The following is a 14,437-nucleotide window of genomic DNA, read 5'->3' as shown; positions in this document are numbered from 1 at the left end:
TTTAACTGATTGGAGGCTGTTGAGAATGGGCAAAACCTGACCTAAACTGACACAAAGCTATTATGATCTTTATCCCAATTAGTAGATGTTTAGCTCTAAAATGTTACTGCATTTGATTAGAGTGTTGTTCCCCTGTAAACTGAGATAAGGTACCCAGTTAACATTCCAAAATCTCAAAATTCTAAAACGTACCTGGTTTATCTTTATGTTTCAGATGGACTTATTTCACAGTCATGTATGTAATCTTACTGATATTCAGATCTTAAGGGTGAAGAAGGCCGGGCGTGGCGCCTCACGCCTATAATCCTAGCACTTTGGGAGGCTGAGGCGGGTGGATTGCCTGAGGTCAGAAGTTCAAGACCAGCCTGACCAACATGGCAGAACCCCATTGCTACTGAAAATCCAAAAATTTTAGCCGGGCCTGGTGGCGCATGCCTGTAATCCCAGCTACTCGGGACGCTGAGGAAGGAGAATCACTTGAACCCGGGAGGTGGAGATTGCAGTGATCTGAGATCGTGCCACTGCACTCCAGCCTGGTGTGATGGGAGCGAGGCTCCATCTCAAAAAAAAAAAAGAGAGGAGGAAAGGATAAATATAACTCACTAGTAAAGTGGAGATTTCAGTAGCAGTTGGATATATGAGTCTGGAATTTGGGGAGAGTTGTTACATGTAGATAGTAGTTGAAGCCATAGGAGTCAAATCACTATATTTACCTCTCTGCTATTACTACATCATTTTAAACTTTTCCTGTCTCCCCATTATATTGGGAGGTCCTTAAAGACAAGAATTTTATAATACACATCTTGCCAGCACATAGCATAACGACTGCCACATTGTAGATAAGCAACGTGTTTATAGAATGAATTAATAGTTAAATTAATGCATTTTTTCTTTTCATATAACCATAAATTTTATTGCTAGAAAACATACCCCAGAAATCATCCCATCTGAGCTCTTTCTTTAGGTCTTTGATACTTTTTTTGTTGTTGTTGTTGTTGAGAGAGGGCCTCACTCTGTTGCTCAGGCTGGAGTGCAGAGGCACAAACATGGCTTACTGCAGCCTCAACCTCCTGGGCTCGTGCTGTCTTCCTGCCTTACCTTGCAAGTAGCTGGGCCCACAACTATGCCCAGCTAATTTTTTGATTTTTTGTGTGTGTGGAGACAGGGTCTCACTTTGTTGTGCGGGCTTGTCTCAAACTCCTAAGCTCAAGTAATCCTCCTGCCTCAGCCTCCCAGAGTGCTGGCATTACATGTGTGACCCACCATGCCCAGCCCTATGACCCATTTTGAGTTCATTTTGTTTATAGTGCAAGGGATTGGGGTACAACTTTATTATTTTGCTTGTGGATATCCATTGTCTGAGCAACATTTGTTGAAAAGAGTGTTCTTTTTCCATTGAATTGTCTTGGTGTCCTTTCTGAAAATCAACTGACCATAAATTCAATGGTTTATTCTTGACTCTCACTTTCATCTCATTTTTGTATATGTCTGTCGTTATGCCAGTACTACACATTTAATTACTATAGCTTTGTAATAAGTTTTATTTATTTATTTATTTATTTTTTGAGATGGAGTCTCGCTCTGTCGCCCAGGTTGGAGTGCAGTGGTGCCATCTCAGCTCACTGCAACCTCTGCCTCCCAGATTCAAACAATTCTCCTGCCAAGGCCCCCCGAGTAGCTGGGATTACAGGTGCCTGCCACCATGCCCAGCTAATTTTTTTTTTATTTTTAGTAGAGACAGGGTTTCACCATGTTGGCCAGGCTGGTCTCAAACTCCTGACCTCAGGGTGATCTGCCCAACTTGGCCTCCCAAAGTGCTGGGATTACAGGCATGAGCCACTGCGCCTGGCCTGTAATAAGTCTTAAAATCAGGAAGCGTGTGTATTCTTTCTAAACAAATGAAGAAACTAAAGCCACAGAGCCTAAAGTTAAGTAAGAAAACTAGTAGAGTCAGAAGTAGACCTAAGTTAGCCTCATTCACAGTACCTTTCTTTTTTAATATCTTGTAGTACAGGTAGACCATCCCTAATACAAAATCTGAAATGCTCCAAAATCCAAAACTTTTTTAAATAGAGACAGAGTCTTGCTATGTTGCCCAGGCTGGTCTGAAGCTCTTGGGCTCAAGCAATCCTCCTGTCTCAGCTTCCCAAAGTGCTGGGATTACAGGCATGAGCTGCCACTCATGGCCAGTGAGCATCTTTTCTTACACTTATTGATCCTATAGTTTTTCTTCTTGAATGCCTATTCTTGTCTTTTGACCTTCTTTTAATTGTCTGTCCTTTTCTTACTGATTCATAAGATTTCTTTACGTGTCCTTTGTCTTTTATATGTGCTGTAGATATCTTCTCCATATTTGTTCTATTATTATTTTTTTCACTTTGTGATATCTTTTGTTAAATATGTTTTTTTCATTTTATGTTTTATGCTGTCTGAATTTTATTCAACTCAGCAAATATTTGTTGAACACCTGCTATGCACCATTCTAGGCACTGGAGATATAACACTGAACAAAATAAACAAAAATCCCTGCCTTTGTGAAGCTTACCATCCTACTTGAGAAAGGAAAAGAGAAAGAATAAAGAATTACATGAACAAGGCTAGGTGCAATGGGTCATGCCTGTAATATACTTTGGGAGGCTGAGGTGGGCTCATTGCTTGAGCCCAGAAGTTCAAGAACAGCCTGGGCAACATGGCAAAACCCTGTCTCTACAAACAATGCAAAAATTAGCTGGGCATGGTGGCGCCTGTAGTCTCAGCTACTTGAGAGCTGAGATCAAGGATCAATTGCTTGAGCCCAGGAGGCAGAGGTTGCAATGAGCCGAGATCATGCCACTGCACTCCAGCTGAGGTGGACACAAGCAAGTCCTCATCTCTCAAAAAAATAAAAAGAATTACATGAATGAAATACAAAGTGGGTCAAAAGCGATAGTTATGGCGAAGAAGAAAAGAAAAAAAAGACGGGGAAGATGTGAATAGGCAGTGTGGGGATAGGGAGGGGTGTTATTTTAGTAAAATGGTTAGGAAAGGCCTAACTTAGAAGATGACATTTGAGCAATAGCTTTAAGGAGGTATTTGGGCATAGGGCCCAAGTTCTAAGAAACTGATATGGGAGCAAGCTTGATATGTTCAAGAAACATCAAGTATGGATTAACTGGAATAAGTGGGCTTGGCGTGTAGCAGTAGATTAGGTCAGCAATGTAATGGGACAAGATTCTTTAGGACTTTGTAGACCATTGTAAGAATTTTTGCTTTTCCTCTTGAGCAAGATGGGAAACCACTGGAGGGTTTTGAGTGGAGTAACATAATCTGACTTCAGACTCACACAAGCTCCTTTGTTGAAAATAGACCAGGAGGCAAGCGCAGAAGCAGAGAAAGCTTTTGGGCTTTTGCAGTAATCCAAGGGAGAAATGATGATGATACTAGCCAAGTAGTCCAGTCCAAGTGTGAGAAGTGGTCAGATTCTAAATATATGTTGAAAGTAGAATTGAGAGGATTTAGCAGACCAGTTGTTTGTGGCAAGAGAAAAAGACAAATCCAACTGTAATGTTTTTAAGCCTGAGTAGCTGGGAGGACAGATTTGTCATTTATGTAAATTGGAAAGATTGCCTGGAGAACAGGGTTTTGTTTTTTTTTTTTTTAATAGGGCGAGGGATATATGGGGAGATTTAAAGTTCAGATTCGGACATTTTTTGGCATATTAGACATCTAAGTAAAAATGTTGGGTAGTCAGTTGGATATACAAGTTCATCTTGGTCAGGATTGTTCAGGCTACAGCTGTAAATTTGGGAGTCCTTAGCATATAAATGGTATTTAAGGTCATGACTGGATGAGATCACCAAGGGAATTAGTGCAGACTGCAAAGAAGAGAAGTACTTAGTGCAGGAATTGAGCTCTGCCAGTGTTAAAAAGCCAGGGAGATGCCAGGCCCAGTGGCTCACGCCTGTAATCCCAGCACTTCGGGAGGCTGAGGCGGGTGGTTCACCTGAGGTCAGGAGTTTCAGACCAGCCTAGCCAATATGGTGAAACCCCATCTCTACTAAAAATACAAAAAAAAAAAAAAAAATTAGCCAGCGTGGTGAGCAAGTGCCTGTAATCCCAGCTACTCAGGAGGCGGAGGCAGGAGAATCGCTTGAACCCAGGAGGCAGAGGTTGCAGGGAGCCGAAATCCCATCTCAAACAAAAAAAAAGCCAGGGAGTTGAGAAGGAACTAGCTAAAGATACTGAGAAGGAAGGGCCAGTGAAGTAAGAGGAAAACAAGGAGAATGAGGTGTCCTGGAAGCCAAGTAAAGAAAAGTGTTTTTAGGAGGAGGAAGTGATCAATTGTATCATGATCCTGACAGGTCAAGTAATATGAATACTGAACATTAACTTTTGCACTTTGCAATGTGGTAGCCATTGAGTGACCTTGACAGGAGCAGTCAGTGGCATAAGAAGAGCAAAAGTCTGGGCTCTAGAGAAGGGGTAAGGAGAAGAATTGGAGGCAGAAGATGAAAGGAACAAGTTTCCTTCATTTAACAGTTGCTTTTAAAAAATAAAATGAGTTAACAGCAAATACAATTAGTTGTTTTACATGAACATTATTAAAATTTTGGAAATCTCATTGGTGTTTCATGGTTGCTAAATACCATGTATATGCTAATATGAATTAATTTCAGGTATTTTGATTACAGATTTAGTATATTTCTGTGTAAGATAACTGACAGAAACTATTAAGGAAGTTCCTCTCTATTCCTAATTTAAGGTTTTATCATTTTTTTAAAGTGTGATTATTTTTTATTTTTTCCCTGCATTTATCAAAAATGGCTCTAAGATTTATCTCCTTTATTTGTGTTAGATTACATTGATAGATTTTTTTCTGATGTTGGACCATCCTTTCATTCTTAGGAAAAAATCCTTCTTGGTCACATTAAGTTTAATTGGTATTACTATTACTGTTCTTATTTTGTGCTTTTTAAAATTAAAAATTTGATTTTATCAAGTTTTATTTTAGAATAAGATTGATTTTTTTAATTGTCTCATATCATCATTGTCTAATTTTGATGTCAAGGTTATATTAGCCTAATAAAATGAGTAGTTTTACCTCTTTTACTATTTTTTTAAATAGTTGACGTATGAAAAGATTAGCTGTTTCTTGAAGATCCAAGAAAGCTACATTTGAAAGCATCTGGGCTTGGTGTTTCTTTCAAGAAGGGGACATTTAGTTAGCAATTTAATTTCTTTAAGAGTTAGTGACTTATATAGCTTTTCTATTTCTTGGGTCAATTTTGGTAATTTTTCTTCCTGGAAAATTACCCATTTCATTTATTTTCAAATAGATTCACATAAAGCTTATTGTAATTTTTAAAAATCTCTGTTGTATCTGTAATTATGCCTTTTTCTCTCCTCGTATTCTTTTTTCTTGACCTCGTGATCCACCCGCCTTGGCCTCCCGAAGTGCCGAGATTACAGGCGTGAGCCACCGCGCCCGGCCTCGTATTCTTTTTTCTATCAGTTTTGTGATGTTTGTTTTTTAATAGGTTTCTAAAAGAACCAACTTTTAATTTGATTCTCTTTAGTTTCTTTGTTATCAATTTAATTTCAAAAATTAATTTTCTTACCTTTCTTCTACTTCCTTAAGACTTACTCTTTTTCTGTTTTCCTAAATTGAAATGCTTCATATTGCATTCTGTTTTTCAATTGCTGTGGATTTATGTTTTTTCAATGTATTATTTATTATTTATTATTCTTTTTGAGGCTCCAGTTGTCCAAAATGTGGCCTGTAGAAACCCCTTCAGTTGACACTTGTATTCTTTTGACATGTCTCCATTAAACTTTGAGCACTTCCTTATTTTCTGGCATAAGATTTCCCAAACCTACCATGTATTTTCTCCCTGCTCTAGCCTTAGAATTAGCCATTTACTAATGGCTAATTAGTCTTGACTGAAGGGCTGTCCGGTGTCTTTCTACTTCACCATTTTTTCTATCTTTAGAGTTCAGCATCTTTGCCATGATAAAGTTAACACATATCATTCTCCTTCTATTTTATAACAGCTTTCATTGTTAAAATGATTTAGTGGTGGGTCACTTGGGGAGTGGGAAGGAGTGCTTCTTTTTACCACTAATGGAGTGATACTGTACCAGTAACCTTCTCAAAATCTGAAGGTAAAGCCATCCTTACCTCAGCTCCATTGGGTAGTATATGCCTTTGAAACAACTGGACTAAGATACCTGGCTAAAATGGATGGCTTTAGCTGTGTACGCTAATGATATTGCTAGCTGAAATTGAAATGAAAGCTTAAAACACTGAGCAGGTATCCCTGGGACGCAACAAAAACCAAAAGTAACCTGGAGTACTTAATGAATATTATATAAAACCTCAGTTTCCATGGGAGTAATTCCTTTAGAAGAGTTACTTAGAAAGCTGTTGAGTTCTGCTTGAATTTCGTTAAGGGAGTCAAAAATCCTATTGCTTTCAGAGTTATTTTGGTTCAGATAAGCTCAGTTTATTTGGATATATGACAGAAAAAATGTTAATCAGGAAGGAATGTAAAGTTAAGAAGATGAGTTTTGGAGCCCGCTCTGTTGCTTTTGGCTCTGTGTTGGCTATGACTCTCAGTAAGAATGAGTATTTAAAAGTGACAGAACCCAGCTCCATGACCTAGAATGTGCTAGAAGCTACAGGGTAGTAGAGAGATAATCCTGACTCTACTTCAAAAGTTTTAATGGAAATTACAGAACAGACAATCCTGAATCTAGAAATGCAAAGGCAGCTCCTATTGCTATTTTACAGTTTCAGAATAGATTTTTAGTCATCTTCTGACTTATGATGGTGATATGAGGGGATTATTGATACAGATATCATGTCTCACCACTTTAAAGATCAACTGTAGATTTTGTAGAAATGCTTTAAAAATGAATGAAAAATAAATATATAAGCCTCCAGTATTTGATCTTCAAATAATTACTCAAAAAATTAACTGTATGGAATGAGGAGGCACACACCTATCTATAGTCCCATCTACTTGGGAGGCTGAGGCAGGAAGATTGCTTGAGCCCAGGAGTTTGAGTCCAGCCTGGGCAACATAGTGAGACCCTGTCTCTTAAAAAAAATTCAGAAAATTATATGATAGTAAGTAGAGGCTAAATGATTGAGACTATCATAACAACCATTATTGCTAATTTTAATCTAATTCAAATAATAATGTGTCCCAAAAAAATCTAAAAGGAAAACCTTTGTGAAAATGATTATTTTCCATTTAATTTGTTTTGGTGATTTTTCCGTTATATTCTTGTGTTTAATTTTAGATTGTAAACTCTTTGTAATATAAACTGTATTTATAGCTTACATTCTCTACAATGTTGGTAAAGTATCATGGACATATTTTATGCAATAAATACTTTCCAGCTGTTGGCGATCCTTACCAAAGACTTAAGTCCCCCCTCTGGTACAAATCACTGTACAATTGTCATCTTTGGCAGAGAGCTGAAGTAAAATATCTTGGCCAGAATCCTTTTGCTTAAACAAGGCAAACCACTGGAGTGTTGAATTATTAAACAGTTTTTAAATTTGATAACAGGTTTTGCTTTATCCAAATTGTAATGATTTATATGATATTAATTTGCTTACCAGAACTCAAATAAAGCTGTCAGCTTATTAGTCACTCTTGATAAGACACAGTGAATGCTTATTTAGCTTTCATCTATATCTCCACTCATGTTCATTATTTTCTATTATTTTTCCTGGTTCTTCCTTTCATAAAGTGAACATGTTATTTTTCCTCAAAGAAACTGAAAAAGAAGCTCTGTTTCATTAGGCATTAATTCCCTTTTTTTTGTTGTTGTTGAGACAGGGTCTCACTCTGCATGCTGGAGTGCAATGGCATGATCATGCTTCACTGCAGCCTCAACCTCCTGGGCTCAGGTGATCCCTCCCACCTCAGCTTCCCAAGTAGCTGGGACTACAGGTGTGTGCCACCACACCTGGCTAAATTTTTTTGTATTTTTTTATAGAGACGGGGTCTCGCTATGTTGCCCAGGCTGGTCTTGAGCTCCTGGGCTCAAGTGATCCATTCTCCTTGGCCTCCCAAAATGCTGGGGTTACAGGCATGAGCCACTGCGCCTCGCCAGTTTACTTTTTGATGTGATAAACAGTTCTGTTTTGGGGCTTAGTTATTCCCACAAGAAAAGAAAATTATATCCCTTGGTTCTCAGACCCATTTAAATTTAAAAAATTTAAAAAGTAAAAAATTATAGTTAATGAAGTAGGGAAATATTTCTTATCACTCTGGCTGTGAATAAAATAATAGTGAACATTTATTAGTAGTGATAATGTCTTCCACTTCTTTGATATTTCCCTTCTTTTAGGAAGTACTTCAGTACTTCCTAAACGCGAAAGATTTTTTTCTCTACCTGATTTTCCTATTAAATATGTAAAAGTTCATGGAATTTTATTTTCTCCTTAATTGTGTATAAATTTTCCCCATAGTATTTCTGAACATTCTTCTGAGCTTCTTAGTATTCCTGCTTCTTAAGGACTTATTCATCTAAAATAATAGTATAACCATCAAATGTCTATCTTACTTTGTTTACTTTTTTTAACGAAAAAGATCATTTTATTGATGAGCCTAGGAAAGAACATTTACAATCTGTGAAATACCTACTATTTAATCTTATTTCTTTTTTGTACAACGTTAAGTCTACGGTATAGACCTACTTATCTTTAAAAAGCAAAAGTTTTTTTTCCCTAGTTTGAAATATTTTGATCATAACAAAACTTTTTCCAGGATCTTCAGCCTGTTAAACAAGAAAACGAAAAACCCCTTCCAGAAAACATGGATGCATTTGAAAAAGTGAGAACAAAATTAGAAACACAGCCACAAGAAGAATATGAAATCATCAATGTGGAAGTAAGATATCTCATGTCTTTAAAAAAAAATTTTTGATATTACCAATCAAGATGCAAATGAGATACTTGGTGATTTAGAGACATAGTCCACATCAAGATTATACTGCTTTTGGCCTTTAAAATATGCTGAAAAACTTAAAAAGCAAAGATTTCAGAGATTGTGATCACAGAATGTGATCCTTTACATCTTTTAATAAATGTAAAGATCGAAAGTAAGATGAATTTTCAACTGTAATATATTAATTCTGGTTTTTGCAAACAATCAGTTCCGATTTAAAAAAAAAAAATTTCAAGAGACAGGGTCTCACTGTGTTGCCCTGGCTGATCTTGAACTCCTGGGCTCAAGCAACCCTCCCACCTCAGCCTCCCAAAGTGCTGAGATTATAGGTGTGAGCCACCATGCCCAGCACTGATTTAAAAATTTTTTAATCATTCTAAGGAGAAGTTCAAATGAAAGTAGTTCATACTTTGTTATTATTTGAAAATTACTTGATTGTTTTGTCTAAATTTTTTAATAAAAGGAATTCACTTTAAGTAGTATAATACCATGAAAGCCAAGTATCTGTTTAACCATTTTATGGTTATCACAGTCATAAATAGTCAGTCGAAATGAATTGAGGGCTGTGCGTGCAGTGGCTCACGCCTGTAATCCCAGCACTTTGGGAGGTCAAGGTGGGCAGATCACCTGAGGTCAAGAGTTCAAGACCAGCCTAGCCAACATGGTGAAACCCCATCTCTACTAAAAATACAAAAATTAGGCATGGTGGCAGGCGCCTGTAGTCCCAGCCACTCAGGAGGCCGAGGCAGGAGAATCACTTGAACTCAGGATGCAGAGGTTGCCCTGAGCCAAGATTGCACCACTGCACTCCAGCCTGGGTGACAGAGCAAGACTCTGTCTCAAAAAAAAAAGAAAAAATGAATTGAATTTTTCAATAAGATTGGAAAATTGAACCGCAATAGGTGAAAATCACATACATAGTAGAGTGGAAATAGTAGGTTAAGAATAAGGATCTCCAGATTCAAATTACGCCACCAACTAACAGATAATAAACGTAAGCCACTGAAATCATATCAACCAATCAATTACATTTAATATGTAGGCATTAGACAAGAACACTATTTATATTTGGGTAATATTAATTCTCTCAATTTCAAATTGTATTTGTCACCCTACAGCAGGTGAAATAGTTTGTGTTAAGTCAAGACTGTGTATAGTTGTTGGTGACAGCATATTTTAAAGGAAGGAGTCTCAGAAAGTTATAGACTGGGTTTTCAGGCTAGTCTGAGCCACAGTTTCCTCATCTGCATCATTTTGGATTGTCTTAAAGATGCCACTTGATTTCTGTTAATTGACTCCCACTGTACAGGTATCAGATGTTTCTAAAATGTAGCAGAAGTGGTTTGTACAGTTGTGAGAACTGACAGATTTTGTTATACCTTTTCTTTATTGCCTCTTGTATTTATGTATTAAAAACCCCTCTAGTGGTTATGAACATACGAAAACCATATCTTATCAACTACATTGTAAAAATGGTCAATTTTATATTTCATATGTGTTCATTCATATACTTCAACAGGTCTGTTTTTTATAAGAGTCTTCATTTCATCTTCATCTTGAATAGTCAGACTATGAAAAGGTTAATTAAATTATTATTAAGTAAACTGCATGTTTCTTTTGTCAGGTTAAACATGGTGGTTTTGTTTATTACCAAGAAGGTTGTTGCTTGGTTCGTTCCAAAGATGAAGAAGGTACACCACAATTTTTCTTTTTACGTGCTCTAATTTTCAGATTTCATATTTTTTATAGGAAATTTATTAATTTCTCAAAGATAGAGAAAAGATTTTTTTAAAGATTATTTCTGAATTTTTTTTTAATGACTAGTTTTTAATATCTGGGTTTGTGTAAGATATAGTTAGACTCAGAAGCTTTGGCAGGGAGAATGGAGACGGCATCCAGCATTTTTTGAGCATCTGCTGTGTCTTGGGTACTATGCTAGGCACTTGGCATATATTGTTGATTGTCATTTATATTCACTTACTTTCTAGGTTCTGTATGGTCTGTAAATACTAAACTAGACTATAACAATATCAAATAATGTCTCATAGGTTGATGCACAGAATAGTATTGAATAGTATAAGGTAATATTAAATAACTTATTGTCAGTTGATGTGCAAGTTAAGCTGCCATCATTGTTGAAAGAAGCTAGGATATGGCCTCTTACAGAATGGGAATTCTAATTTAAAACATTAAAATACAGTTTTAATTTTTTAAAGTACATCCTTTGAAGTTATCACTTTCGTATTTTTCTTTATACAGCAGACAATGATAATTATGAAGTTTTATTCAATTTGGAGGAACTTAAGTTAGACCAGCCCTTCATTGATTGTATCAGAGTTGCTCCAGATGAAAAATATGTGGCTGCCAAGATAAGAACTGAAGATTCTGAAGCATCTACCTGTGTAATTATAAAGCTCAGCGATCAGCCCGTAATGGAAGCTTCTTTCCCGAATGTGTCCAGTTTTGGTAAGCCACCAACCAAAATAGTCCTCTGTGTTGAAAGGCAACGGTAACACTTTTGAAACATTTTTTTGTCGCATGTGAGGGAGGGAGAAGGTGAATGCCTGATTCATGTATCCCTATGGACTATACATCTTCCTATGTACCTCTTATTCAGGAGACCTTCCCTTATTTAATTATATATCTAGATGGGTAATTTTAAAATACTCATGTTTTTAAAAGTGTTATAATTAGAGTCCATGTCATACAATATGTTTTGATTTATCAGAATTATTTGCCAAATTATTATCTAGAATAAATTTTTACACGTAAGTTGCATCTTAATATTTTATTCAACTTTAAGCTTGAATGTATTTTTTTAATTTCATGTTATCTTATAGAGCTGTTACAGCATAAAGTCACTACCAAAGAACTTGGTATGTGTTGAACTAACCTGTTTATCAATGGAAGCTGTGACATTTTTAGTAATAGAACTAACTTTAAATTTATCATTGAGTGGTACATATGTTACATTTTGTCCTCCCTTTTCATTTTCAGCCATCATTTTCTCCATTGTTTAACTAAATGTTGTTGCAGTGAATTGAAATTATACCCTAACTATTGAATTCTAAGACATATATTTTGTACATTTTATAACCTTTAAAATCATGGTGCATATTATACAATGATGACTTACAATCACTGTCAGCCAGGTGGCAGTCATGGTGTAATTGTGTGCAAACTTCTGTTGACAGCTTCTGGTGGGATCAAGAATCAGCATTAAATTGTGTTTGGTAGTTGGAGATATCCTGTGGCTTGAAAGCAGACAGAGAAGGTTTACACATGAGAGAAAGATGCAATATTCCTTCAGACTTACAGTTTCAAGTTGTAGATTGAGACGGAATTCACCTCCTAAAAGCAAATGTGACTTTACCAATGTCTTTCCTAAATATTGAGCATTTAGCTCTTATTTAGAAACCTGAGTACCCTGAGACTGATAACTACTTGAAACCTTGGAATGGTGTAGTAGTGGTTTATTCTCAGGAAAGCTCTCTGGCTTATATACAGCACAGATTAGATACAGTCAAATATTTAGATTTCCAGGGATAAACTTGCACATGTTCTCACTGGCATTCAAAATTAGAATGTGCTGTGCTTTTTTTTTTTTTTTAATGGAGTGTAGGTGATTATGTATAATTATCTCATTATTTTCTTTCAGAATGGGTAAAGGACGAGGAAGATGAAGATGTTTTATTCTACACCTTCCAGAGGAACCTTCGCTGTCATGACGTATATCGAGCCACTTTTGGTGATAACAAACGTAATGAACGCTTTTACACAGAAAAAGACCCAAGGTACTAGAATAATATAATTAAATCTTTCTCTCCAGAACCTTCCTCCAGTTATTTAAAGTACTGACTTTGGTTGACTTAAAACGTTTATTTTGGTTGGAACCAGGAATAATAAGGCTAAAACGATCATTCTTTTATTAGTTGTTTGTATTCAAAATTGGAGTCTGGTAATATTCAAAATCAGAGTAAATACAGATATATCACTAATATTTTATTAAAAACTGAAATTGATTTTGTGAATTACAACATAGTTCATTCATGTAAATTCATAAAGATGACCTAGAACTGCTAGATTGTGAACAGACTGAGTCTGTTTCACCTTTGCATCTTAATTGATAAGCAGGGTGCCAGGTTTGTATAGTGCTATTTAGTCAGTATCTATTGCTTAAATAAATGGTATATACTTAGATAGGTATCTCTCTTTCAAACTAAAACCCCTTGTTCCTGATGATTGTTGAGTACCTTTTAACCATTAAATTCTTAGTAATATATAGAAGAATTTAAAGTATGTGTTGCTACTAAATTATAAATTAAAACTAACTCAAAAATGTATTATTGTGCTAGGTGAAAAAATTAAATATATGCTATGGTTTCAATTGGGTATCAAGGAAAAAAGATGCATTTTTAAAAGATTGAAAGGAAATACACCCAAAGTACTAACAATGGTTTTTTTTTTACTTTTCTTTTTTTCTTTTTGTAATAAGCATTATTATTTTTATAATACATTTTAAATTTAAAAATAATTGTCGATAGAAATAATTGGAAAAAAAGATTAATGTCTAGTTCTTTATATTTCGTATATTCTCTTAGACACATTTTACCCTAGAGCCACTTGTGTTCTCACTTCCTGTAACCACATATCTAACAACTATTTGGTCAAGTAGTTTATTTTTAATTTGTCATCACCAAACTAAGCAAACAAAAATATATAAAAACAGCGAAGAAAGTGTTGAAAATAAAGAGCAAAGTAGGGTAGGGGACTTGCCCTACAATTATATATTAAAGCATATAAAGCAATAACAGTAAAAATAATACAAATTGATAGACAAATAATAGAGCTTAGAATAACTCTAAAACATAGATCCTAGTCTATGTGAAAATTTATATGATAAAAGGCATCACAAACTAATGAAAAATGAATCGGTGTTATTTTATAATGCAATGGGAAATACTATTTGGGAAAAAATAATTTTCATCATTGTATATGTCAGCATACATTCCTAAGAGATTTAAAGAACCCATTGAGAAAAATAATTTTTTAATAAGATGAAAATATAAGCTTTTTAGTCAGCTTGGTTGGAATATTTTTGAAACATAAAATCAATATAAGAAATTACAAAGGGTAGTAGCAGTCTCGATTACGTAAAATATTAAACTCAAGTCAAAAACCACAAAAACTATTGTAAATAGTTAAAATCTAGGTAACAAAATGGAGGAAAGTGTTTTCAACAAAAAGACAAGTTAATGTTCTTAATTTTTTTTTTTTTTTTTTGAAACAGAGTCTCACTCTGTCACCCAGACTGGAGTGCAGTGGCGCAATCTCAGCTCACTGCAACCTCTGCGTCCCAGGTTCAAGTGATTCTTCTACCTCAGCCTCCCAAGTAGCTGGGATTACAGGCACCTGCCACCATGCCTGGCTAATTTTTGTATTTTTTGTGGAGACGGGGTTTCACCATGTTGGCCAGGGTGGTCTTGAACTCCTGA

General features: G+C 35.7%; 1 protein-coding gene across 17 annotated transcripts in view; it reads left to right on the top strand.

The window, feature by feature from the left end:
* The window catches only part of PREPL (prolyl endopeptidase like), a 44,256-nt gene that overhangs the window by 6,710 nt on the left and 23,109 nt on the right, over positions 1–14,437 (top strand). For all 17 annotated transcript variants that reach the window (NM_001171617.1, XM_047446444.1, NM_001171603.1 and 14 more), the window contains 4 exons: positions 8,763–8,885; positions 10,567–10,633; positions 11,202–11,408; positions 12,601–12,736. In NM_001171617.1, coding sequence (NP_001165088.1) covers positions 8,811–8,885; positions 10,567–10,633; positions 11,202–11,408; positions 12,601–12,736 — 485 coding nt within the window. In that variant the 5' untranslated portion in view covers positions 8,763–8,810. The remainder of the gene's footprint in view (positions 1–8,762; positions 8,886–10,566; positions 10,634–11,201; positions 11,409–12,600; positions 12,737–14,437) is intronic.

This window comes from Homo sapiens, chromosome 2, assembly GCF_000001405.40.
Source record: "Homo sapiens chromosome 2, GRCh38.p14 Primary Assembly".
Classification (NCBI taxonomy): domain Eukaryota; kingdom Metazoa; phylum Chordata; class Mammalia; order Primates; family Hominidae; genus Homo; species Homo sapiens.
The sequence above is the reverse complement of the archived record's forward strand: the minus strand, read 5'-3'. Positions and strand labels throughout refer to the sequence as shown.